Source organism: Homo sapiens, chromosome 7 (genome assembly GCF_000001405.40).
Source record: "Homo sapiens chromosome 7, GRCh38.p14 Primary Assembly".
Classification (NCBI taxonomy): domain Eukaryota; kingdom Metazoa; phylum Chordata; class Mammalia; order Primates; family Hominidae; genus Homo; species Homo sapiens.
Genome location: NC_000007.14, coordinates 93,531,710 through 93,559,466, shown reverse-complemented (window position 1 = coordinate 93,559,466; position 27,757 = coordinate 93,531,710). Strand labels below are relative to the sequence as shown.

Genomic DNA, 27,757 nt, shown 5'->3' with positions numbered 1-27,757 from the left:
ATTCTGCTAAGCCACAAAAGGGCAAAGGTCTTGGTACATAACCCAGGAGGGTGTGAAAGTCACTTTTTAATAGGCAAGCTGCAAAAAACCAGATTGGCCTGGTTCTGCTGAACAGCAATCATGGAAACTGATGTGTTGTGTCTTAGGGACTGAGGGGAGGGGGTGGAAAAGTTTTGGCTCCTCAGTATCTAATTAAGCAGGACTGTGCTTTGGACAGCCTGGTTTGTGTGTGTGAATCTGGGTAAGAAAGAGGTGTGGTAGAAGCTTGCCTAATGTGCCTACTAATTTTTAAAGTTACAATTTGCTGCCAGTCTTACCATATTTTCTCAAATAATTTTTCAAACTTCCCTTTTATCCTCATGACATGGAAGTTGATGACAGGGACAAGAATTTTTTTTGTTGTTGTTATTTGACAGATTTTTAAACCTCCCATGTCATCCCAACACACTGCTCTCCTTGCTGCACTCAAGTGGTGATTTTCTCACTTTAATCAGCAATTGAATCACCCAAAGGGCTTGTCAAAACAGATTGCTGGCCCCACTCCCAGAGTTTCTGATTCAGTCTAAGGTGAGGCCCAAGGATTTGCATTTCTAGTAAGTTCTCAGGTCATTTTGTTGCTGTTGGTCAAGCTATCAAGCTCGCATTCCTTCCCCGGGATCTCATTTGACATACTCTCTTCCCCATCGTTTCCACAGTTCAAGAGGTTTTGAGTGAAGCATTTCAGATTCTTTGCTTCATCACTACCCATGTTTCTAATATTTTCTTTTCTTCCAGTAATTTCTTTCCAATATTCCAAATTTATATGAGAAAGAACTGTGTAAATAAGAAAAAAAAGGTTTTTTTATTCCAGTTAAATGATGATAAATATAATAAGAGTCTTTATTTAAAAGACTATCAAGAACAGCAAGACATGTGAAACCTACCTTTTTCCTCTCAATATCTCTACTGATTCTTTGAGAAATACAGAGAAACAATGAATCTCTATTTACTTCAAATGGCATTCTTCTAACTCACTAAAGGTGAAAGTTCCAGGAAATATTTTTTCTTTCTAAAACAAATAGCAGAGTAAATAATGTCATTTTAAGTAGTATAAATAAATAAACATTATCAAACCATGGTATACAAAGAAATAAAGATTCTACCAATATAACTACTTTGAAAGCTACTGCTACTGGAAGAATAATTTTATAAAGCACAAGAATTGTTTTATTTCTTTCTAAAAATTGGATACAAGGCAGTAGGTAGAAGGATATTTATATTTTTGTTTTATATTGTTTTCTGTATTCATGATTAATTTCATCAGTAAGAATTTTTAAGAAACAGTAAAAAAAAAAAAAAGGTGTTAAAAAAGACTACAAGATTTAAGTTTGTTTATTCAACTCACCTATATTGAGTGCCTAGTCTGAGCTAAGTATTATTTTAGGCAATTATAATAAAGACAAGGCGACATTTCCCTGAAAGCCTCTAAATCACAAACTAGGTAATAAACAAATAAACAAATATAACTAAAAGATTAAAAAGAGTTAGGGTCTTGCTTTTTCAAGGGTCAAAACATACCATGAAGCTGAAATAGCTAAAGTACTACAGTACTGACACAGAAAAGGATAAATAGATTAAGGAAACAAAATGGAGTCTAGGAACATATTGGAATTTAGTATATGATAACATTGGCATTTTAAATCAGTGGCAAAATGACAGAAAATTCAAAGCAGATATCTACCTTCTATCATACTCAGAAACAAATATTGATACACTAGGAGAAACACAAGATGATACATTTGTTATAATCTAGGTGTTATAATCATAAACATAACACAAAACCCAAAAGCCAAAAGATAAAGAGAGAATGAGACTTGACTATATCTAAATATAAAATTTCTATATGGTGATAATTTCTGAAAATAATAATATGTCAACTAACAGCATGGAAAAAGTATTCACAATCAACTAACAGCATGGAAAAAGTATTCACGATGTATAGAACAAATAATATTCATTGAACACATATTCTGTACCAAGCACCATACTAAAAATTTACAATCACCATGTTATTTTTAAGACTTAAAAACTATCATTTTTTTCTTGTATATGTTAATTAGCTTGATTTAGCCATTCCACAATGTATACATATATCAAAACATAAAGTTGCATACCATAAATATATATATAATATTAATTTGTCAATTTTTAAATTTTTTAAAGAAATAAAAACTATCAGATGTGTACTCTTATTATCTTCATTTTATACATAAGCAGTCTGAGATTGGAGACATTTGGTAAAGTGCCAGTCATCTAGCAAGAAAGAGGCAAAACTGGGATTCAAATTCAGATGTCTCTGACTCCAAAGTTATTAAACACTGAGGTAAAAAGAGTTTCTATAAATTCAAAATAAAAAGGACAAAATGTAGGAAGTCATGGGAGATGAACCAAATGGCCAAGGTAGTTATGATAAGACATTTAGCCTCACTAATAATCAAAGAGAAGCAGAAAATTTAGTATTACTTGTGAAAATTACAAATCCCATATGCTTTGGCTCAGCATTTCTACATATTTTCTACCCTACAGAAATGCGAGTCTTTCTGTACATATCTTTAGGTGCATCTAGAATATTCTTTGCAATATCATTTGTAGTATTTCAAAGACGGATATTGCCTAAATGCCAATCAATAGGGAAATACTCAAATGTATTATGCCATACACCTATTTCAAAAGAATGAGGCAGATCTATATGTACTGACATGAAAATATGGTCATCATATATTAAGTAAAAAGAAAGTTTCAGGAAAAAATATATATATATAGATAAAAAAGATCCTGTTGTGTAAAATTATACATTCTACACATGCCTATGTGCACAGAAAAATGTCTAGAATGGTAAACCTGAAATTATTAACTGTTTCTACTTCTGAGAAGTTATGTTGGAGAAGTAGAATGGGTATGAGGGAAAACTTTTACACATAAAATAAATTACAAAACAAAAGTTATCTCCAGTTTAGATTTCATAATTTAAAATATGTATTTTGTTAAAGGCAATCAGAAAAAAATATAATGGAAAATATTTTAGAGCAAATTTTAATGAAAAAGTGAAAGACATTTAAAGACATTTGAACTCAAACAGTGTAGACCAGTTGTTCTTGAAGAGGATCTCAGAAATCCAGGAAAATACTTCTCACTTATATCTGACTGAAGAATATCAGTGCCCTTTAGGGTCAGGCTTTGCTTTCATGCCAATATCAGGCCACTGATAATAAGGTCTATCCAAATTCCATTTCTGTTTTCATCCTCCATCCCTACTCTACTGTTTTAAAGCAAACAGTTACCCTGGAGAAAAAAATTCAAGTATCCCCAAGTATCTTGATGACTTAAGGATAACCTCAATGGATTCAGAAATAATTCCATGGCCATGTTCATTTAGGAACTCTTTGCAGGATGCAGTATTTGGTTAAGGGAAGCCCTACAGTGTGAAATATCTGTCCCAAGCAATTGCTATTTGAGTCACCTCTGTATTACAGAAGAGTTTTACTCTTTTCATTATTGTTCTAAAAGATCTCAATGGACATGACTGTTTTCATTAAAATAAAAATAGGGCAGAAAAACTTGTTCATTCATAAATGCGATAAATATCTGTCCACTGATCAGCCCAAGTCTAGTTTCCTTCCTATCAAGTTCTTGTTTATTAAGACCTGTTTTTAAAAATATGATTTCAGATTATATGTTAGCTTTATGCTTCTACCCGTTTTAATAAACATATGATAAACTCAGTGCTGTGCTTAATCTATGCCACTTTGATATAATTACTGGACTGTACCAATAAACTATTTGCCAAGTTTGGAATTCAATGTTTCCCATTTGATAAATGGTTGAAATGGTAAATCCTTTCAAAACAACTGGAAGGTAGACATCATTCAAAATGCTTAGGGTTTTTGTTGTTGTTGTTGTTGTTTCCTTCTCCATAAATGACTTTTTGCAGTTTAAACCACTATCAAATTTATTTGGACTGCTAACCCTAGTCCTTTCCTGTCTATTCCAGATGACCCCAGGAGTATGCAGGCTTGTTATTTCTTCCCCATAGCTAGTTTGAGAGTAATGAGTCAGCCTTTTTCTAGCACATCCATAGTGCCTCAGGACCCTGCATTAACTGTATCCACACTGTTTTCAAGCACAGAAATGATGGGGCATTGCTGGAGCATGATCAGATAAAAGTCCCCTTCCAACTATCAAACCCTGACCTCCTTTTATTCATCCGAGGAGTTCTCCAGTGCTCTGCAGAGTACTGACACATGAGTAGTATGCCTGTTTGACATCCCCTCTCATCTGGCTGGGACCTGCTTACACAGAAGTTCCCAGCAGCCCTCAAGCCCAAGGGAGATGGAACCTAGCAATTCCCTGTAACCAGCATCGCCTGTCCCCTCAGTGGGGTCAGTACCCAGACTCTGGAGTCAGAGATTCTAAGATCAAGTCTTGGTCTTGCTAGTTACTGCCAATATGGCCTACAAAAAACAATTTAATTTTCTCATGCTTCAGTTTTCTCACATAATCAATAGGGATGATCCTAGCTCTCAGATTTACTGTGTCAATAAAGACTGAATGATTAAGGTTCTCAGCACATGACTAGTGCAGAATAAGTGCTCAAATAGTGATATTGTGTACTTTCTAAAATGACATGTACGTATAATATATATATATATATATATATACATGGCCTGGCAATTTGAACATCTATCATCTTTGCTTTCAGAATTCTGCACTTATCCTAACCTGGGAAATGGGTCTTCCCTTTGGAACGTAATGCTTAGATTAAACTGGAAATAAGCCTGCTAATGGGTCTTAAACTTTCTGCTCTTCCCAATGTGCTATTGCTGGACTCTGTATTGCTATAGTCCTTTCTCATCCCTGCCTCCCGTAGGTTTAGCTACCTTGTTCTCATGACCAGAAAGGGTAAAAGATCAGTATAAATCCCTTGTTGGAAATGAATTATGACAGGGTTAACTTTAATCATTGAGGTCACTTGTACTGTCTAGCTTCTATCTTCTTTGATCTCTTTCCTTTCTTTAAGGAAAATTTGCATATGTAAGGTGGTTCTTATTCTATAAGAAATAGAAACAGATATATTCTAGCAAGTGTTGAAAACCTTACTTGCCAAACTCTAGGAAATAGAATTTCATGAGAAATAAATATATTGTCTAACACATGACTTGTAATAGAAATGATGTTTCCAACAAAGCATATTTTATACACTAATTTTCATGATGGCTTATTAAAAATGTACAACTTCTCATATAAAAAATAAACAGATAAAAGCAGTCTTGTGGTAATTTGACAAATCCACGTGAAAATGTCACACTAAAGCAAAAAGTGGAGTACATATAGCAATGGAAGGTTTAATCTCTGACCCTGACAAGTTTTACAGTTAAAGTTTAAATCCAGATTTCTTAAACAAACTAACAAAAGCAGAAATGACAAATAGGTTTCTTTTCATTTGTCTGCTCTAGATCTCTGCTTTGAGAAGGATGCTGAGGTCACATCTAGGTGCAGTGGGATTTAGTGACGTGTTAGAAGGCAATATCTATCATGGCAATACAGTGGGATAGCATGGATTTGTACCATGTAGTTACTATCCCTGCTTGCTTTTGGATCACACAGACATCCTTTTGTATAGTCAAATATGATATAATTTTGTGGAGAAGAAGACACTAACATTTGGTGGAAGAGTACAGAAGATTAATCTGAACCAAGTGCTTTTCAAAGCACTTCGCATGTACTCACTCATAGAATCATCATAACAACACTATAAATATATGCTGTTATTAGCCCCATTTTCCAAATGGGGACATTGAGGCACAGAAACCGTCAGTAACTTGCCCAAGTGATACAGCTAATAATGAGCAGAGCTTATTGACAGATCTGTCAGGAAGTCTGACCCCACTCTGTGTCTTTACCATTTGTATTAATCTGCCTCCAAAATTTGTTGTGCAAAAAAAAAAGGGTAAGTTTTCATTAACATCTTTCTATGGCATGCATTTTGTAAACCTAGCACCACAGAACGTTCATGTAACAAGTGATCTTGCTCATTATCTGGACCAAACTTCTGTCTGTTAAAGGATCCTGTCCTTAATACCCAGTACCTCCTCAGGATCTCCCAGCTCTTCCCTTGTTGAGCAGCTCTGGAAACTCTTTGACATATTGAACCAAAATCTCCCTACCTCTGATTTGCACCTTTGGTGGAGCAACACAAACCAATCTACACTGTCTTCCACAGAATGACAATCAACATCTTGTCAGTGAAATATCTCCACCATGGGTGAAATTCGATGAGAAAAGAGATAGCAGATTTTTAAAATAACCCATAATTGGATAAAAGTCATTTTATTTGAAAACTTTTTCCCTCTAAAATAACGTGATATATTTTGAAAGAAGAAGGTGTGAGGTCAGGTGTCCATTATGTAGCCAGACAGATGGATACGTTGTTGTTTTACCATTGCCATAGAAACAAGTGCTATGTTTATCTCATTCAGTGAGGAAGAATTTCTCGGGTCTTTCCCAAAAGTTGTGATATGTGCTACACTGAATATGGCCCACCATGTCTATCTGGACAAAATAAATCCCCTTTTTACCGGGGAGGAGTGCTACACAGGGAAGAGGGGAACTCTACTTGAGCATTTCTTCCTATGAGCTCTGTCAATTTCTTGTTATTTGAGATTCACAAATTCTCTTTAATATAACAATCTATTAATGTGCTATATTCATGTTTGGAGATAATGCTAATTGTCAAAGAAATTAGGCTTCTAGTTCTAACCTCTAGAGAACATGGGAAAAGACCAAAGAGGAGTAATTACAGAGATGTGGTTTAATATAAAGGTTTTATATCAAACCGGATTCAGCCATACTCTAGGCCATGAAAGTGGCTTTTGTAAAGACGGTGCTGAATAAAATATAGCCTATCAATGGGTTCACAAAGATCAGTATTTAACCTTAGTTTTAGTTGAAATCATATTTGTAGGCCCATTCATTTGCATACCAATAAAGCTGAATCTTAGCTTTAAATGACTTAATGTAAGACCTGAAACAGTGTGGCCTTGGAAAGGGCATCACATAAACTATTAGGACACCCGAGTTCCATCTCCAGCTCTGCCAACAGGTTTTGTGACTTTGGTAAGCTCATAATATTTACTGAGCAACTGTTTGGTTTTGAGAAGTTGAGCTGGGCATTTTACCTTATTTAATTTTCATAGCCACTTTCTAAGTTAGGTAATACATTTACCTTGTACAGATGAGAAAATTTAGTCTGAAGGGCTAATGAACAATGCCCAAGATCACTCAGCTGATAAATGGCAAGGCTAGAATGTGATGACTCAAGCTTTTCTCTGCATTAAACTATTCCTATCACTTCACCTCCTGAGTTTTAGTGTGTATCTTTGTAGCCACGAGGTCGACATGCTCTGCACATTCTTTGCCACATTGACATTCTTTGATTTCAGGGTAAATATTTCAATATAATGTCCTGTTCTTTTTATTATGATTATCCATTTCACTGACTGCTGACAGACCTTTTTCTTAATTTGTGTCATCTATATTGAAAATATATCTCAATCATATTTACCAAAATATGAAATCTCTACTTAAATGGGCTTAACACACTGTATCAGCAGGATATAATTTCACATTTGTGTTATCTGTAAAATAAAGCAAAATACTGCAGAATTTGACTCCTACAGTCCAAAACTACAGATACCTTTGCTGACAGTAGAGGTCACTGGCACCTTCCATCCTCTCCATCCAGGAGATGCTCCCCACAAAGGGTGGTTCTTAAATTTGTTTCCCAAAGGGTCAGGGGATGGTAGACCAGAAGCTCCTACAAGATTTTACCAAATTCCTCTTTACTTTTCCTGTCACTTTTGACCTGGTGCCTACAAATAAAGTTACTATCGTATTTGTGGAAATGGATCCCAAAATAACTGGCACTAAAAAAACCTGTAAAGAAGTTGTTGTTATGGTTGTTTGAACATTTAAGAATTGATTATGAGCATGTGAATCATGTAATCAAAAAGTCCTCGGTAATAAATAGGGACATCGCTTGTCAAATGAGTTGGAAAAGTTTTGCCTGCATATATCCAGAGCTTCATCCCTGACAAAGGCTCTTAGAACCCTCCCTGATGAAATACACGTTTTAAGTTCTTGAGCGCATTTCTTAGGAGTTGACAAGTTCTCCATAAGGTGGCGCAGTGTTAACACTCTGTTAATGGCTTTTTGCCTTTTTTAAAAAGAATTTTCTTCAACTTGTTTGAAAAATCTCAGGATGGACTTGCTTTTATACATAGTGTTTTCACATACACTCAGCATATTTACTCCATTTGTAGAAATATATTTTGAAATTAAGTAATTTTCAAGCTTTTATATCTTGTTTTGTGTTGGTTTGCTAATTTTAGACTCACTCATAATGGCTTCTTCCTTCAAATATTTAAATTATACATGTCTAATCATTTTTTCTTCCTCAGAGATAAGTAGAAGCAGGTATAAATTAAAAACTTACCTTTAAATATTACAGATGTGTTTTGTAAACTTCTTGGAAGTGAAAATTTGCAGAATCAAGATTATTGGTGTTGGATTGCTAGGAGCTGGTATCACAGGTGCACTCTTTGCAGCTGAACCATAGTAGTAGCTAAGTAAACAACAAGAAGGTCACATGTGCAAATTATGCAGATGATTCAGACAAAAACATCAATGCATTTTAGTTATTTGAATATATCAAGTAGGTGTTTTGCCATCGCATTCAGATATTGTTCTTGTCTGATACCCTTTAGCAATTGTTACAAAACTCTGTCTCTCGTGTGTGTGTGTGTGTGTGTGTGTGTGTGTGTGTGTGTGTGTTTAGCCCAAATGGAAATGCTTGGTTATAATTATTGTGAATTCTAAAAATACTGAAGTGGCCAACATTGACCAAATTGACAAGACTTTTTTTTTTTTTTTTTTTTTTTTTTGAGACGGAGTTTTACTCTTGTTGCCCAGGCTGGAGTGCAATGGCATGATCTCGGCTCACTGCAATCTCCGCCTCCCGGGTTCAAGTGATTCTGCCTCAGCTTCCTGAGTAGCTGGGATTATAGGCATGCACCACCAGGCCCGGCTAATTTTTTGTATTTTTAGCAGAGACGGGATTTCACCATGTTGGCCAGGCTGCTCTCGAACTCCTGACCTCAGGTGATTTACCTGCCTCAGCCTCCCAACTTGCTGGGATTACAGGCGTGAGCCACCACACCTGGCCTAAATTGACAATTCTTTTCACTAATTTTTCTTTAAAGGGAAAACAAAACCATATACATAGAATATGTAGTAAATGCTGTCTAACCAAGTCATTATTTTTCAAAATAAAGCTGATTAAATATTCTATTCTAAATAAAAAAAGATTCCACCTCACATTTTGATATATTGTTGTATTTAGCTAAAGTGCAACAAATGATGAACTCTATCATTTATGTTCTGAAGCAAATTATTGCATTTAATTATATTGCCAGTCTGATCTCTTCAGAAGATGAGATTTTTAGTGATTGAAACTGAATTGCCTATTTGTGCTGTTTAAAGCACTGCTCTATCAGCAGCATGTGGTCATTTTGGATAGGTTAGCTCCTGGATAGCATCTCTTGAATGTACTTATCATGGTAATATTTAAACACTGTTCATGGTGTTTACATCTCGGTTAGGTTATAAAGATACATAGCTGCATTGGCTTTGCATTTTCCATTAACTTTATTTAATAAGGTCTTCGTCAAGCCCTAAACCCTAATAGAGGAGGTTTATCTGGTCAGATTGTCTGAATGAATTTTAAAATCAAAGTCTCAATTTTTTGCTTTGATGTTTTCATTTTTGATACCTTAACCACAAATCCTAACCTAAAATTATTCTCCTAGAAAACTTTCTATGGAAAATAATGATTAACTTCATCTCTTAGTCTCCAGGGTAATTGTCTTTATGTTATTTAACAGCAACTTCCTAAGCTGAGTATTTTAAATGGTTTACAAATTCAGAATGCTCAGGAAACTGGAAAATTCAGTAGTTGAGAGGACCTCATTCTCCCTTTTCTATCAGATATCCCTTTTTTCTCTCTACCTTCCCTAGTTGAGAAAAGGGAATAGACTTTAGAACTAAGATAGTCATTTGAAAAATATGTTATTGCCCTTACTTACAAAAAAAAATTGGTCTAAGAATACTTTCTCATCATTCAGATTTTAAGATTCCATCTGAATAAAGAGTTCAGCAGCTAAAATAATAAATGGTGATTATCCAACCCCTCCACTGTAAACATGAGAACATGAAGTCACAAAAAGCTAAATGATCAACTAGACATCCTTCATTGAATAATTGGCAGAAATGTAACAATTAGAAATTCTGTATCTTTTTTGTCATGTGCTTTAACTATATTTCCATTTCCCTTCCCAAAAATAAGGAAATAACTTAAATCCAACGTAATACCTCTTTACTTGAGAATTTTTATAATCACAGCATTACAATTCTCAGGGGGAAAAAATGGTATAAAAATGTAAATCTTAATAAAAGTCCCAGGGAGTAAAACTTGAAATTCATACACACACACAGACACACACACACACACACACACACACACACACACACACACTTCTTCTGGATTGAATTATTGCAATTATTATCAACTCACAATTGGCCAAGACAACATAACTACATTATGAATTCTAATAATTCCTAAGTAGTTAAAGTAAAGCTTTTTTTTTTCCAAATGCTTCTCTTAATGAGATGAATGAAGTATTTTGTTTTGGGTTTTTTTTTTCTGTTTTTCTTTATTTTAACTAGTTCATGTATCCATGCTCAAAGATTCTATTTTGCAAGAAGTACACAACTATCACCCTCACTTCTATTCATAATTTTGTTTTTTCTGACCTCATTGCTGAAAAAACATGTTTATATTTAAAAGTAGGTGAAATTGGAGTTTTATTATAGTTATTTCCCTCGGTTCTATAAATTCCTCCCTAGTTATATGTCAAAAATCACATGATGATTGATCATTAAGAATTATGTGTAATTTTTCAGCTTAACAACTTATTTAGACCCTCCTACAATGTTGTTGAAAGCAAAGAACTGGAAACCACCAGACTTGCACAAAGCTTTGTTAACTGGTCATTAGAGTCATTCGCTTTGCCAACAAGTCCTAGTGTTTGGAGCCAAGAGGTTCTTTATATCCCCAAAAGATGCTCTATCCAAGATGAATGAGAGGTGGGCTATTGTTTTGTTTGTTCTTTTGTAAAGTGGGAGAAGGGTGTTTATGAACAGGAGTTAGAGAAAAGAGAGCTCCGCACACCTCAGACAAGTTGTAAGACAGATCAGTCTTAGAAAAGAGAATATACAGAGATTAAGAACTCGATAATTGACACTCAAAACTACTTATATGCCCATCCCTTAGAAAGTATTTCCATAGACAGGGTTATGTGTACACCCACTTGAAAACCACTGTCTTAGGGAAGTCTCAGGGAAGCAATGTTCTGAAGCATGAGGAATGTGGCCTTGAAATAAACATCTGTTCTCGTGCTTAAGCAATCAGCACAGTCCCATAAGCTCCTTTTTTAGGGGCAAACTACCCCCCGTACAATGTTCTGAGGCCTTTGATGAGATGGCACAGCTGAAAGTCCATGATACAGAGGTCAAGTGAATTCAGAAACAGCCCATTAAGTTACTGGGAAAGTAAGTTACTGGGACCAATTACTTGCTTTGAATACTCAGGTGTGACTTTCCAAATGTGAGGAAACATAATTGCGTGGGATTATCTATTGCTGTGATTGAGCTGGGAGCACCTGCATTCTAATTCAAACCCCACATGGTTGACCTGTGTGGACTTCTAGTAGATCACCCATATCTCTGCTTTCCTGTCCATAAAACAGAGGAGCAAATTAAGTATGGCCTGCTTCAAATTCTCTGTTGAATGAGTATTAGTACAAATGTGGTTTTCATGGACAAAGCCACCTACAAAAATTATTCACATTAAATAGTATGCTTCTAATTTTTAAGGCATTGGAAATTTTAAGTAACAAAAAAGTAAATTTGTTAGCATGATAATAACTGACACTTGCAATGCAATTTCAAGTACTTTTCATTATTTGTTTATATATCCCCCAAAGTTTTCTGCATTCAGAAATTAGAAATCAATAAACTGCAGTGCTATCTATAGCATTATGTATAACATAAACTATAAAGGGGACTGTGATCTATAAATTAACATAATGTTTTTTGTGACCCTAACTACCAGCTAAAATATGCACTCTCTAGCTTTGATCCAGATCTACCAAGAGTGGAGTTCCCACAAGTCAGATAACCTGTCCTAAGAGGTCCGTACCATGAGATCAAGGGTCTTTTTCCTTGCTTTTTGGCATTTGCTAGAGTCAGGTGAGATCTGTCTCCATTCTGCACTTTCTTCTCAGTGCCTTCTGAGAGCTTGTCCCTTCATATACTCACATAATTCCTTTACCCGACTGTGGGAGGATAAAGATGAGAATGAAGGCATACACAGCAGTTTATCTTGAGGAAGAGAACCCAAGTCTGCATCCAGTTTCTCCTCCAATCTAATAACATCCTTTGAATTAGAAGTCGTGCAGGGTGTGGTGGCTCAAGCCTGTAATCCCAGCACTTTGGGAGGCCAAGGCAGGTGGATCACTTGAGCCCAGGAGTTCAAGACCAGCCTGGGCAACATGGCAAAACCACATCTCTACCAAAAAAAAAAAAATACAAAAATTATCCAAGTGTGGTCATGCGTGCCTGTTGTCTCAAGCTACTCAGGAGGCTGAGGTGGGAGGATCACTTGAGCCAGAAAGGTCGAGGCTGCAGTGAGCTGTGATCCCACCACTGCACTCCACCCTGTCTAAAAAAAAAAAAAAGAAAAGAAAAAGAAAACAAAAAGTCACTCACTCATGGGCCCAGCTTCAGGACAAATGTTGGGAAGCCACCATTTCAGGCTCTGCGGCCAGACAGTCTGGGTTTGACTTCCAGCTACTGCCACTTAAAAACTGTGTGGCTTTAAATACATTATTTAACCTTTATGTAAATCAGTTTCTCAATGAGGATCATAATAATAGCGTCTTTGTCACAGTTCTCTTTAAGATAAAGGGTAATCAGTCACATAAAAATAGTATAACCATATAAGTTGTCATTCAAACTGGTATGCTTTTGTGAGTGAACAGGGATGTTATTAAAATTATATCAGGACAACAGGTGTGAGCTAGTACTTTCTTGGGAAATACAGGACATAGGGGTTTGCTCTATAATAAAACACCTGGCATGATACCTGGACTTTGCATGATACCTGGACCTTGTTAGAGTTAATGGGCTATTAACATCCTATTAATAAAATACTAATATTGCCTATGGGATTATGGTAAAAAAATTTCTTAGAATATGGCATTCTCTTTCATATTAGCATTTTCTGAATTTGTTAATTTGCAACAGTATTTTTTTTGTTATTTTCTTTCAGTAAGGGGAGAGAGTACTCAAATATATATGTGTAGGAGAGCTTCTTACCACTATTTCACTTGTTTAGCCCCTACTTTAATCCCTAATTAGGCTTAGTTGCTAGAGAAAACTCACTTTGTCCAACAGAAACCTAAGCATGGAGTGTAGTGAGGAGATTCCTTGCTTTTGCTCCAATCTCCACCCTTGTCAGATGATGAAAAAGGGGTGATATGAGGTCGATCCCATGGTAGTAGCAGGACTAAAGTTTAACTTCAGGAAGTTGACAACTATTTTTGTTTAGATTAAAAAAAAATTTAATACTGTGTCAAAAATCCAGCAAAAATAATTGGTAATTCAGAAGTCCCATGAAGTAATCTCTATACTTCTTGCCAGCATAGGGTCTTTTTAAAACATGTTCTCAGGGTCCTGGCTAGCCTAGCATCAGCTGCCCCAAAAATGGGGCTTCCATCATTTTTTGGCAAAATATCATCGAAGTCCAGCAGGCAAGGTTGTTTGACCTGGATCTTTTAATTCAACATAATCCTAATATGAGGACATACCACGTTAAATTTCTGTTAAATACAACTTCTTAACCAGAATTCACTTTGTTTGAGCCTGTCTATCTAGAGGCAGAAATTACACTGGATAGTTGAAATTCTTTTAATATTTATTGCCCTTCTAAGTCTAAATTTAACAAAACCAGCACTCTACAGCCAGAGGACAGGATTTTTAATCTATGTAACATGAAAAGCAACAGCATATGTGAAAGTCATATTTTATTCAGGAGCCGACTAAGTTCCTTTATTCCTGATAATAATATCAACTGGAATAGCATTTGTGTAAGGCCTCTGTGTTTACAAAGTAGGCCAAGATACATATATCACATGAGTACCTTATCCTTCCCATCCCACCAACTTAACATGCAGCAGGCCCAACCTTATCCATGAAGCAGCCTAACGAAAAAGTCCAAGCAGTAGTACCATAGAGCATGTTTTCTGCCCTTCTCCACAGTCTGGGGAAAGCGTGAGACAGCTCCAGAAAAGATGAGTTCATATTCAGCCTGGGAAAGCTGCACAGTGGCCTTTCCTGCTGCTCAGCATGAAATGAGCCATGAGCAGCATGAAATCACTGACCACAGGTGTAGAGATTCACAGTGACATAAATATCTTTGCTGTTGAGCAGTTGGAGGAAAGCTGTGGGAAGATTTGCCATAAGCTCCTCCTGGCCAAATCTGCCTTTATAAAGAAATGGTCATTTAGGTCACACTGTTGCTGAGAAGCTTGGTAAGTCCCATTCCAACTTCCAATTAAAAGACCTACGGAGAATTAGAAAAACATGTAGATGAGTCTATATCTCAGACCATTTGAAGGAGAAAAGCAAAATACCACACAGTGAAAAACTAAAATCTTTTATGTGTGAAAAAAAACCTTCATAAACAAAATTTACAAAGAAAAATAAAGGCAAAATCACAATCTATATAATAGATGTTATTAAAAATACATCTAAGATGTTTTAAAATTCTTTCAAAAATGACAAACTAATATGAAAATATGCAAAGAAAATAGAAAGCAAATACCAAGGGGAGCAAAAACATATGAAAAATGTTCAAATTTACTAATGATGAGAGATGTAAATTAATGTAATTAGTACCATATTTGCCTACAAACTGGAAGACTTTTTAAAAAATTGTGAACACCCAGCCTTAGCTAGTATATGGAGACTCTATCCCTCTTGATTTTAATTTTTTAACCCTTCTTCCATTTTATTAATATTTGGTATCAGAAGAAATTTTGTTTTTCTTTTATTCATTAATTTTGGCATTATTTTTTTTAGTTTCTTATCAATGTAAGCAGGATATAGTTTTTTTTAACAAAATTAAAAGTTACTATCTCTTAACGGAAGAGTGTATTCCAACTACATTTATGGTCATAATTGTCATGATTGGTCGTAAGTTATGCTGCAAATTTTTCAATTTCTATTCTGCTTTTTTATTTTGTTTGTATGTTAAGCAGTTTATGTCTTGTTTACTTTTAATTTCTACTGAAATATAAAAGGCAGAAGTACTGTAGCAATTATTATCACATACAAATATACCCTAAGTACTAATTGTAATAATTACTGAGGCCAGTAACAGAAGAAAAAATACAATTAAACAATAATTTAAAATATTAAATATGATAGCTTTAACAATTTGATAGACTAATGTGTGTTATAATTTTGGTTTAAAAAATATTGGACCTGAAAAAAAACTCATTGGAAAAAAATCTTAGCCAAAAAAACTAGTTACAGTATGATCCCAAATGCACAATAACTGTACATTCTTAGGTGTGTGTGTGTGTGTATATATATATATAATCATGGGCCATACAATGACATTTAAGTCAAATATGGACTGCATATACAACAGTGGTCCCATAAGATTATAATGGAGCTGAAGAATTCTTATCATCTAGTGACGCCATTGCCATGCTCACATCGTAGCCTTACTTTCCATGCTTGTGGTGATGCTGGTGTAAATGAACCTACTGCACTGCCAGTTGTATAAAAGTGTAACATATACAGGCCACGCACGGTGACTCATGCCTGTAATCCCAGCACTTTGGGAGGCTGAGGTGGGCAGATCACTTAAGATCAGGAGTTCGAGACCAGCCTGACCAGCACGGTGAAACCCGGTCTCTACTAAAAGTACAAAAATTAGCCAGTTGCCATGGTGGGCACCTGTAATCTCAGCTGCTCTGGAGGCTGAGGCATGAGAATCACTTGAACCTGAGAGGTGGAGGTTGCACTGAACAGAGATCGTGCGACTGCACACCAGCCTGGTATGTATAACTATAGTCCTATATACAACTATAACTATAGCCCCAGAGCAAGACCCTATCTCAAAACAAAAAACAAAAACCAAACAAAAAATGTGGCATATACAATTATGTGCATTACATAATATGTAACAATAAATGAATATGTTACTGGTTTATGTATTACTATACTATACCTTTTATTATTATTTTAGAATGTACTCCTTCTACTTACTTAAAAAAAAAAAATCAGTGAACTGCAAAACCATCTCAGGCAGGTCCTTCAGGAAGTATTCCAGAGACAACATTGTTATCATTGGAGATGACAACTCCATGTGTTTTATTGCCCCTGACGACTTTCCAGTGGAATAAGATATGAAGGTAGAAAACAGTGTATTGATGATCCTGACCCTGTGGGCTTAGGCTAATGTGTGGGTTTGTGTCTTAGTTTTTAACAAAAAAGTTTAAAAAGAAAAAAATTAATTTAAAAAATCTTATAAAAGAAATAAAATATTTTTGTACAAATGTACAATTTGTGTTTTAAGCTGTTTTGTTAAAAAAGAGCCAAAAAGTTCAAAAGATTTAAAAGCTCATAAATTTTAAAAGTTACAGTAAGCTAAATATAAATTATTGGAGAAAGAAAAATTTTTTTCATAAGTTTTGTGTAGGCTAAGTGTACAGTGTTTATAAAGTCTACATAGTGTACAGTAATGTCCTAGGCCTTCACATTCACTCACCACTCACTCATTGACTCACCCAGAGCAACTTCCAGTCCTGTAAGCTCCATTTATAAGTGCCCTACACAGGTATACCATTTTAAAAATCTTTTAAACTATATTTCTACTGTATCTTTTCTATGCTGTGATATGTTTAGATACACAAACACTTGCCATCATGTTACAGTTGTCTACAGTACCCATTACAGTAACATGCTGTATAGGTTTGTAGCCTAGGAGCAATAGGGTATCCCATCCAACCAAGGTGTGTAGTAAGCTATATCACCTAGGTTTGTGTAAGTACACTGTGTGATATTTGCACAATGACAAAATCGCCCAAGGATGCGTTTCTCAGAACTTATCTTTGTTGTTAAGCAACATATCACTGTATATATTTGTATTCATAGAAAAACAGACTGAGAGGTAAATATATCAAAATGGCAGCAAAGATTGTCACTTATTTATTAGTTTTTGGTGACTTTTTCTCTATGTATTTTTTTCTAATTTTCCAAATTTTATGTAATCAGCCATACTGTGTTTATATCCAAAAAAAACCAGCTACTAATATGAATTTTAACATAATGCTTAGCAATTAGTTTCTCAGAAAGTAAAAACATCACAGATTTGTCTAATGCCCTATAGCAGACTGTAGGGATTATTTAGAAGTCTGGAGATCCAGTTTACCGTGGATAGCCACAGACCAAACTCTTTAAGAAGGGTGAATAGTTCCAGCCACATAGCTCTTGAAATTTGCACATGGACAAATGGATAGGATGGAACTTGAATTGCACTCAGCAAAACTTTCTTTGTACGTTAGCACATAAGTCACAATCTTGTGGTGTCCTCTAGCCCATAGAATCATATACCAAGAGAACATAAAACACCTCAGCAGCTGATTTTTTTAATAATAAAAGTATTCAGTATATTTTTCTGAAGTCAATAGGAATTTAATGCAAATATAGAAGTGAATGTATCTTCTCCCAGTTTCTAGCACTTAACTTCAATTATGTTGCTCTTTTACCATAAAGATAAAGGCCGGGTGCGGTGGTCACTCCTGTAATCCCAGCACTTTGGGAGGCCGAGGCAGGCGGATCACCAGGTCAAGAGATAGAGACAACATAGTGAAACCGCATCTCTAATGAAAATACAAAAAAATAGCCGGGAGTGATGGTGGGTGCCTGTAATCCCAGCTACTCGGGAGGTTGAGGTGGGAGAATCGCTTGAACTTGGGAGGCAGAGGTTGCAGTGAGCCGAAATCGTGCCACTGCACTCCAGCCTGGCGACACAGTGAGACTCCATCTCAAACAATAATAATAATAAGTTTAGTGTTTCATTTACAAAGTCATAATTTGACTTTGATGCTTTGGGATTTATAATCCAATTTGTATGTCTTGTTCAGCCCAGTGGAGTGCATTTGCGTGGCAATCATATTTTACAAATTATAAACCAAAACATATCAGTATTTTTTCAGTCTTTGTAAGGCTATAGTGAGTTCTCATGCCAAATCACTCATTTGTCATTTTTCTTAATGAAATTTAATTTTTTGCTATTAATATTGAACTATTTTCTACTGAATCCTGATTGATTATGAGTGGGCAAAGAGAGATGCTGAATTAAGTTGATTTACAGAGAAATGTTAATGTTTATATGCTCCCATTCTCTGTTTCTACCACTTAAATATAATAAAGATGTATAACTTTTTATACATATAAAATATAATATATAAATATAATATTATATAATATAAATATAATATTATATAATATAAATATATAATATATATAAAATATAATATATAAAATATAATAAAGATGTATAACTTAGAGCTGTCATAAAGTTTGAGCATATTTTAAAATTAGGACAGTTAGAGATAAAACAAATACAAATTATTTAAAAGGAATAAGAAAAGATAGAGTTTATTAGCCATTTAAAATATACTGATTGCCATTGGGCACTAATTTTGTCTCCAATTTTGCTGTAAGTAAATGCAAATAAAGAAACACAGGGAGTTACATAAAGATCAAAATAGTTGGAAATTGTATAAATAAATGTAAACATTTTATTGGATCTCAATTCAAACAAAATTTTATTACATGGTACCATATATTTAAAATGTTGAGCATCAGCACAAAATAGTTTCAGCTACAATTTTACCAAAAACAGAGTGACTGTATTCAAATGGGCCAATGTATTTACCTGCCATACATACGGAAAGAGTAGTATCCTACCCATTGACTGCTGTCTTCCTACTTAATATACACATGCAACTGTTTCACAGGCACTGAAAACTCACCAGGTCCAATATTGAATTACCTGCTTTTCAAGTCCTGCTGAATTAATCGGAGTTTTTGATTGCACATAAAAATTAATTCGCAGTCATCGGGGCAACAAGTGTTCTGTTGGAAGAATCCTAGGGCAGCGAACAGAATCTGAAAGCAGCTACTCTCTTTCTTCTCCCCACAATTCCCCCAAGGGAATGGGACTAGGCATTAAAAGCCTAGTGGGAAACCAGGAAGTACTTTCTTATTCTCATCTCTGCTGCTGTATGCTCCTCTGCTTCATTTCACTGCAGACCTGGAGTATCTTCAACAGTGGACGGGGGCCCCACAAATCCCTACTTTGATGTGGGTTCTCCAGTTCAGGTCATACAAAGGCGTGAACTGCTTCTTTCTTCTTACTCTCTAGAATTGCATCAGAGGGAAGCGTCTTTAACTTCTTGGGGCACACCATGCTCTTTCCATCACAGCCTTTGCCATAGAATGCTCTGCCTTTCCCCATTCAGCAACCACCTTTTACATATGGAAAAACCAAGCCTTTCAGAGGCGTTAGGTAACTTGCACAAGAACACACAATAAATATCAGAGCTGGGATATAACCCTAGGTCATACATGCCTGATTCCAGGGACCTATACCATCTAGAAACGACTCTTTGGGTGTAATTGACCAAAGAATACATTGTCAGAGACTCATAAGGAGAGTCACTGATTTCAGAGGAACACTTCCTTGTAGAGCCATGCATTCATCAACCAACAATGATTTACGTTTCTCAGTATTACTAGAACACTGGGCTGAGCAACTGGTAACTAAACAGATATATAATACTAGATCCTAAAAGCCCCTGATTGAAATGGCAGAAATGAGATAATCATCATACACCTACTCTAAATGGCAACCAAGATTTTGAACACATAAAACATGATATATTTGCCAAACAAGTGATATAGTCAATAAATGTAGATCATCATATGCTACAAAATTCACAAGAAGCCTCAGAGGAGAGATGGGCCTTTGATTTAAGTGATTGGGATTTCATAAATCCTTACCCCAGGGATTTTAATGGACTTTATATATAAAAAGAAGGAGAGTGAGAATAAAACTTCCTGGGGAGCTATTGTAACATATCAACATATTATAATGTCATATACCGAATAAAGCATATAAGATCTATGAGTTTAGATTCTTCTAAGAGATGAAAAATACAAAATCTGGAAGAAGAATAGAGTGGAATTTCTTCATCTGAGACTCTTAAACTCTAGAGGATTCTGTTTCAGAATATAATACCATCCCCATATATCAGTGTCACCTAGAGTTTGTTAAAATACAGATTCTAGATCCTCCTCAGTTGTATTCAACTCATATCTCAGGGGATTGGTCTCAGGAATCCACTGTTTAAATAATCATCTGAGCAGATTATTTTATTTTGACAACCTTTATTCCAGAGGGTGCATGTATAAGCTCTAGGAGGTATAGCACACATGAAAAGGTTCATGAAGTCTTGAGCATGTACACCTATCTGTCTAGAGAAAGGTCAGTGACTTTCATCAGATGCACAAAAGGGGTCTGCAATCCAAAACAAAAACAAAAACAAAAACAAAAAACAGGTTAAGTATCACCAGAATATAGGAAAGAAGGCCAAGGTATTTTAAAGATTGAGAAACAGAATGATTTCAGTATTAAGGGAATAAAAATTACCTAGCCCAGGATAGAAGCCCCAACCTGAGGGAAGATCTGAGCATGCAGTGATATTAAAAAGATGATAATTCCAAAAACTAAAAATAAGTATTTACCATCTCCACTGAAGGTGGAAGAAGAATAACTATCATAAAACTATAGCAGAAGAAATTGAGACAGGAAATAAATACTTCTTCACACTAAAAATGCTAGGAATACCCCAGAGGGTAGGAATAAACTAGATAATCATCTATCCAGGAAGTCAGACACACGAAAAGATATGTTATCCAGGCCTATCTGCTTTTTCAGCAGAACACATACTATGCATTCTTGGCTATTTTTGTTATTGTAATAACCACAAAGGTCCCAATAAAGATAGAGACTTTATGATATTTAAGGTATTTTGAGTGTGTAGCTTTATTAACAATTTAAGTTAGTCTCTTGTTATATGTTCTATGTTCTTCATTAATTTTCCATTATTTTAGCAAGATGATCACTACTACAGTTTAGTGATTTCTTTTAAAAGGCACATGTTGAACACATTATTTGGCTAATTTTCTACTGGAAAAATATGATAAATGTTTTATTTAATAATACCCATTTTAAATAAACTAAGTTTGCATTTATGAATGGGATACCATAAAATACATTGTCTTGGGACCTGACTAAAACGACCCCATATAAACTAGTCAATTTCATTGATTTGGTCAGGAAAATACAAACATATCAAATATGTAGTTTAACTTTTTATAGGAAATTAAAATGTTGACTTTTCATCCAGATTGTTTATATATATATGTATGTATGTATGTATGTGTGTGTGTGTGTGTATACACATGTATAATCAAAACAAGGATAGGAAGTTTGTAAAATGTGTTTCATGGAAAGCACTGTAACAAGCTAGTTAAGTAATTGACATAAAAATTATTTTTGTTAATTTTTGAAATACAATTGCAAAAACTGATTAAATAAGAAGCTAATTACTAAGGGCTAAATTTAAACTAATAATAACCATAAAAAACTGTATATTGAAGAGTTGAAAATGTATACTATAGAACTAAACTAATAAAAACATCTAATGCAACGTAGTGAAAGAAAAATAACATCGGGAGACATCAGTTCAGTTCCCATTTCAGCCACCAATATTTGTCTTAATTTGTTCTGATATACTGCAGTTCCATGGGGTAACCTAGCAAATGATACCTTCATTACCCAAAATATTGAACTATATTCTTCTCATCTGAAGTACTAAATTCACATTAGAAGATGGTGGCAATGAGGGAATTTCACTATAACCTAAAACTTGGAACATTGTATAAGAGAAAAAGACTTTATTACTTCACTAAACAATTTAATAAATGTTATATGAATGCTTATTTAAAATGAGGAAAATTGTCTCACAACTTTTTCTTTACATTGGTTTTTTTTTCTTTTTGTTTTCATAGAATTTCAAGCTCACAAAAAAGTCGCAAGAATAGTAACAAAAAATCCTGTATGTTCTTTATCCAGATTTACCAATCCATGTTCTTTATAATTTTTGATATTTATGTTTTTTCTAAATCACTTAATGCTAAGTTGGAAACATTGTGCTACTTTACCCTAAAATATTTTGTGTGTATTTTCTAAGAACAAGCATATTCTTTTACGTAACTACAGCTGAGTTCTCAAAATCAGGAAATTTAACAGTGATATAATACCATTATTTAATGCACAATTCATACTTAAGTTCCACCACTAATTTCTTATGTCAAGAATGACCCAAAAGAAAAAAAGCCAACATGAGAAAAAATAAACTTCATGAGAAAATACAAAAAAATTCAGAAGTTACTGAACATATGAAAGAAACAAAAAGGTAGGGATAGCATTAGGAGATATACCTAATGCTAAATGATGAGTTAATGGGTGCAGCACACCAACATGGCACATGTATACATATGTAACAAACTTGCACGTTGTGCACATGTACCCTAAACTTAAAGTATAATAATGATAAAATTAAAAATAAAATAAAAAGGTTTCCTCTTGGGGGAAAAGAAAAAGATGATGCAGTCCACTATTCTCTATAATTCTTAGAGGTTTTACTCTTTATATAAAATCAAAATAATTCAGAGTTTTCTGCAAAGTCTCTGGTTTTTCTTTCCAAAATTAGTCAATAGGACACGTTAACATTTCTTAAACAGAAGTGAATGGCACTATGAGACAGATTTCTCTAAGCGGATCATTAGAGCACAAACACAATTAATGGCTAGGCCTAGTGACAAAGTATGCCATTCACTTCCATGAAATAGTGTGTGTCTGTCTAGGGGCAAGAGGCATTTAGCATAGAAAACAGCTATCAGGATTTATTTCCCACTTTAAAAATGCTCTTACACTTGCTGCACACACAACTTAAAATCAATGACTGGAAGCAGGAAAGAACTGGACAGCTTCACCAGTTAAGTTACTCCTTTTCCTCCAAGACAGTAGCAAACTATTAACCTGAATGCATTATCTACACTAGTATAGACATACATACAGATAATAACATTAAATAAATACATAAAGTTATTCAATGTGATACAGGTTAAGAAGGCTGAGATTTGAGTGGATGCAAAACACTATTTCAAATATATTTTTAAATTGAAAATTCTGTTTTAACCAGAGAACTTTACATATTATAGCATTAGCTGAGAGAGTTCAGTTTTGTTTGGTAATTCCAAAGGTCCCACAATATGGCTTAGTCAGCATCTAACTTCATAATGTGGTCACAGAAGTCATCACCATCTCTTAGGCCAAGGACAAGTCCATAAAGAGCATACACAGCCCTTGGTAAATAAGTTGAGGTTATTTATTTCTGGTTTTAAATATGAAATTATTTCAATTTTGACATTCTGTTGTAATTTTCTTTATCTCTCAAGTGAAAACTAGTGGACCAAGGAGAGATGCCCTATGGTCTCTATGAAAACATTATTCACTCACGCATTCAAAAACTGTGAGTTTATTCATAGAAGTAATAGTGTCATAACAATCATTATCTGTGTGTCCATTTTCAGTTCATAAGACTTTAGCATACATAATGTTATGTCATCCTCATACTTACTCGTGAAAGGTGTGCTTAAGTGCTAAAGAATAAAAAGTGAAGCAAGACAGGCCCATGTACTTAAGAAATTTAAGCTTACATGGAGAAATACCCAGCTAGGTGTAATTATTTTAGTGGGAAGAATAATATTTGCCCTTCAGCTTGTTTAGAATATATTATCCCATAGATTTCAGTTGTGTAATTACCTATGTCTCATATAAACTATGTCTTATTATTATAGGAAATGCTGATTGTACTTGGAGAACTAGAGCATAAGTATAAAACGAAAAATCGTAGGTCAGCAAGATTCAATAATAGTGAGTTTTACTTTCATTTTTCTGAGTATTCAAGTGAAGAATTATGGAAAGATTATTAATAGCCATGAAACAATTTGTAAATAATGTTGAGAGGAAATAGAGTTTACTGAGCTGGGAAGATTAGCATCACAGCTTAATTACTGACTAATTTAATTATCTTGGGCAAGTTTTTAATTCTCTAAACCTTAGTTTTCTCATCTGTAAGATGAAGGTAAGAGTCAGTCTCTCTACTGGATTCTATATAGATTGAACACTACATAAAACACCTAGTATAACTCAATAAATGTTGTCTTTTGTATTTGAATAATTCCGTATGGGATTATCTATATATTTCTAAACACTAGCTCTCTGGACTAGGATTAGAATAAATATTTCTTGTAACAGCTGTGTGTTTCTTCAGTAAAGCCTTGTGCTGCAATGATTTGACTGGAAAATGAAGGAGGAAGAGAAAAATGTAATGAAACTCCAGTTTCAGAAGAATATTTGTTGTCTTCAGTTCTATAATCACTGTTAGGTATGAGTTTAATACTCCCTCATTATCACTATTAGAAATAAAAACGCTTCCTAAGAATGGCCTCTTTTGATATTGTAATTAGTAAAAGTGGAATTTTGTTGGAAAGGGTACTGACATAGTTGAGATAATGTCTACTTACATTTATATCTTTATTCAAAAGCATGACAATTATTTTTGAAGGAGTCAGGCTTACCATCTTGAGCAATTCTATGCACTCGTGACCAGAGAGACTATATCTTAAGAGGCAGCATTGTGTACAGGGAAATGAATGAGCTCTGGAGCAGGCTCTCCTACTTTACAAATCTCAGCTCATCCATTTACTTTCTGTGTGATTTTGGACTTGCTCCTTAATCATACTCAGCTTTACTTTCTACTTTTTAAACTGGAGATAATAATACATATCTTGTATTATATGTATAAGTACAATACATACTTCTTAGGGCTATTGTAAATATTAGACTGTTATGTAATCGTTGTCAAACACTTGATACACGGATAGTAAATCATGTTTCTTAGCTTTATATTTAGCTATTTGGATACAGAACTTTATGACATTGACAAAACCTTTATAGTCATGTTTCTACTTTAGATCATTCTTTTTATAGTGGTATTTTCAAAATTATACTTCTGTTAGATAAAGGCATTGATCCTTTATTAACCAATGGTGGTCTGTTTTCTACTATAAAATGTGGGATAAAGAGATGGTCTCTAGAGCAATAAGAGTTTCTATACAACTGCTAAACATTATGAAGGTAAAAGCAGGCTGCTAACAAACCCATGAGCAGTGACCTCCAGATTTACTTCCCAAAGAAATAACATTTATAGCAGAAGAAAACTGAGTACTTTTTTAATTTACTGGGAAAGGAGAAAAAAAAGCTTCTAAAACATTGACACTTTTTAGGTTTTAGATCTACTTACCTACTAACTTTCATGAGCTAAGAACCCCATCTGTATACTTCCTTTGAATCAGAGTAAATCCAGCCTTTCAGAGTGCTTCCCCACCTAAACCTTCCAGTACCTGTCTAAGCATCTAACAATGCCACATTTTTTTTAAAAAGTCTTTCCTTCAACCTCCTCTCCCATTGGAACCTTATCTCAATGCTTCATTAACACAGAAACCAATAGCAGTTTAGTGCTTCATCCCTCCTATTGGTCTTTGCACTTCAACAGAGGTCAAAGGCTGATAATTACATTGAAAGTATGAAGCGTAATTTGTAAAAAGTGTCAGGCTTCTGGAGGAAAGAGTTCTAGAACTTTTTGCAAAAATAAAATCATACTGGATGATTGGCGCCAAGCCATTTTTGGGGCATTTTAGCCAATACAGAAAAAATGAAAGTGTCTATCAGACATGCTTTTGGCTTATTCAAAATAAAAACCACATTAATTGAGTCCCATGAAAAAGGGAGTACAGTTAGTCCTCGCCTAATATTGTCGACATGTTCTTGGTAACTGTGACTTTAAGCAAAATGATGTATAACGAAACCATTATTACATATTTCAAATGTAATAATAAAATGAAGTTGAACAAAACTATGTTATTAGAGTATTTTTCAATTTAGATTACCAATTTCATTGAATAACAAGGATAAAAATGAGAAAATTGGCATCACCTTTATCCTCTAAAATGTTAGTCTTCAGGTTATTTTTAGAGAATTACCATCTTTAATCCCTCAAATGTGTTTCTAGGTATTTTCCCACTTTATACTTGTCACAATCCTGGAAGGCAAGTACTATTATCACCCTCATTTTGTGAAAGCTCATGAAAGAAAAGTAGTTAGGGTTGAGTAAGTATTTTTTTTTTTTTTTTTTTTTTTTTGCTTTGGACATGAGGAATCAAGGCTATTATATGAGGTAGATTTGTATTGAATTCCTGCAGAAGTCCTCTTGGGTCTTTTGGCAAAGGATCACCCCTGCCATTTGTATTGTAAAGAATTGCTTCCATAGGCCACAATCTGTCCACTCTTCCGAAACCTAACCAGGTGGGCTGTTAGTAAGTCTCTTCTAATTTAGGGAACCATTCCAGTGTCTGATATAAAGTGCTTTAATAATTTTGTTTCATGTATATCAGCCATTGACTGAGCTTTTGGCACACCATGAAGAGCAATTATGTAGCTTTCTCATTACTCTTATTATCCATCTGTAAAGAACCCTGTCAATAAACTACATTCCCTGCTGGTTGGGGTCTTTTTTTAACCTAACCTCCTGAACTTTACTCTACTCTGCCTAAGGCAAAAAGAGGAGCAGCAAACATCAGCACAAATATCAGGAGGACTTATAAAGTAGTGACAGAAGACAGTAGAAAAGACTGAATAACTAGCAAGAGTTCCCTTCCTGTCTTCAGCACTGTTACACTCTTGGAGCTAAACCTTTCAACACCAGATATACTGAAGATAGATTTTTATTATAGAGGTTGCACTTGCCTTTAGACAGACTTCATCATCTTTAGCAGTCTCTCTCCCAAAATTGAAAAAGAGGGAACTTTTGAAACAGTGAAAACTGATTTATTTTACCACTACTTTGTTTTATTCATGTCATATATTTAGGACAATTATTTCTTTATGGCTATCAATAGATAGTACTTTAGGGTATTTGATAGTGTTCATACTAGCAAAACACATATTCATCTTGCATTATAGTTGTTTTTTAAAATATCAGAAAGAATTACATTTTAACTTTGAGTATATGTTAATCACATTCATGATCATTGTTAATTTATTTATCTGGTATATGTACTAAGTATTTTTCAGATCAATGAATTTTAAAAAAACCTTTATGATAATTCATTGATGATGACTTCATCATATTAAAATTTTAGTTGCTGCACATTGAATTTTGATTAAGATTTAGTTAACCCAATCTTTGGGTTATTTCAAGTATCCTAAGCTAGGGGACTTTTCTTTTTGTTTGTTTTTAAGCTTCCATTACAAGTAGCGTTCACAGTTGGC

The 27,757-nt window shown here is 34.5% G+C and overlaps 1 protein-coding gene and 1 long non-coding RNA gene across 4 annotated transcripts in view; one reads left to right on the top strand and one right to left on the bottom strand.

Annotated features, from left to right (window-relative positions):
• CALCR (calcitonin receptor) overlaps positions 1–27,757 on the top strand; it is a 150,239-nt gene that overhangs the window by 15,258 nt on the left and 107,224 nt on the right. The window lies entirely within an intron of this gene.
• Positions 657–25,801, bottom strand: LOC105375400 (uncharacterized). The gene is made up of 4 exons (XR_927749.3): positions 25,731–25,801; positions 8,531–8,659; positions 924–1,048; positions 657–813 (listed from the first exon to the last, which is right to left on the bottom strand). It is a non-coding gene; the product is annotated as an uncharacterized LOC105375400 (long non-coding RNA).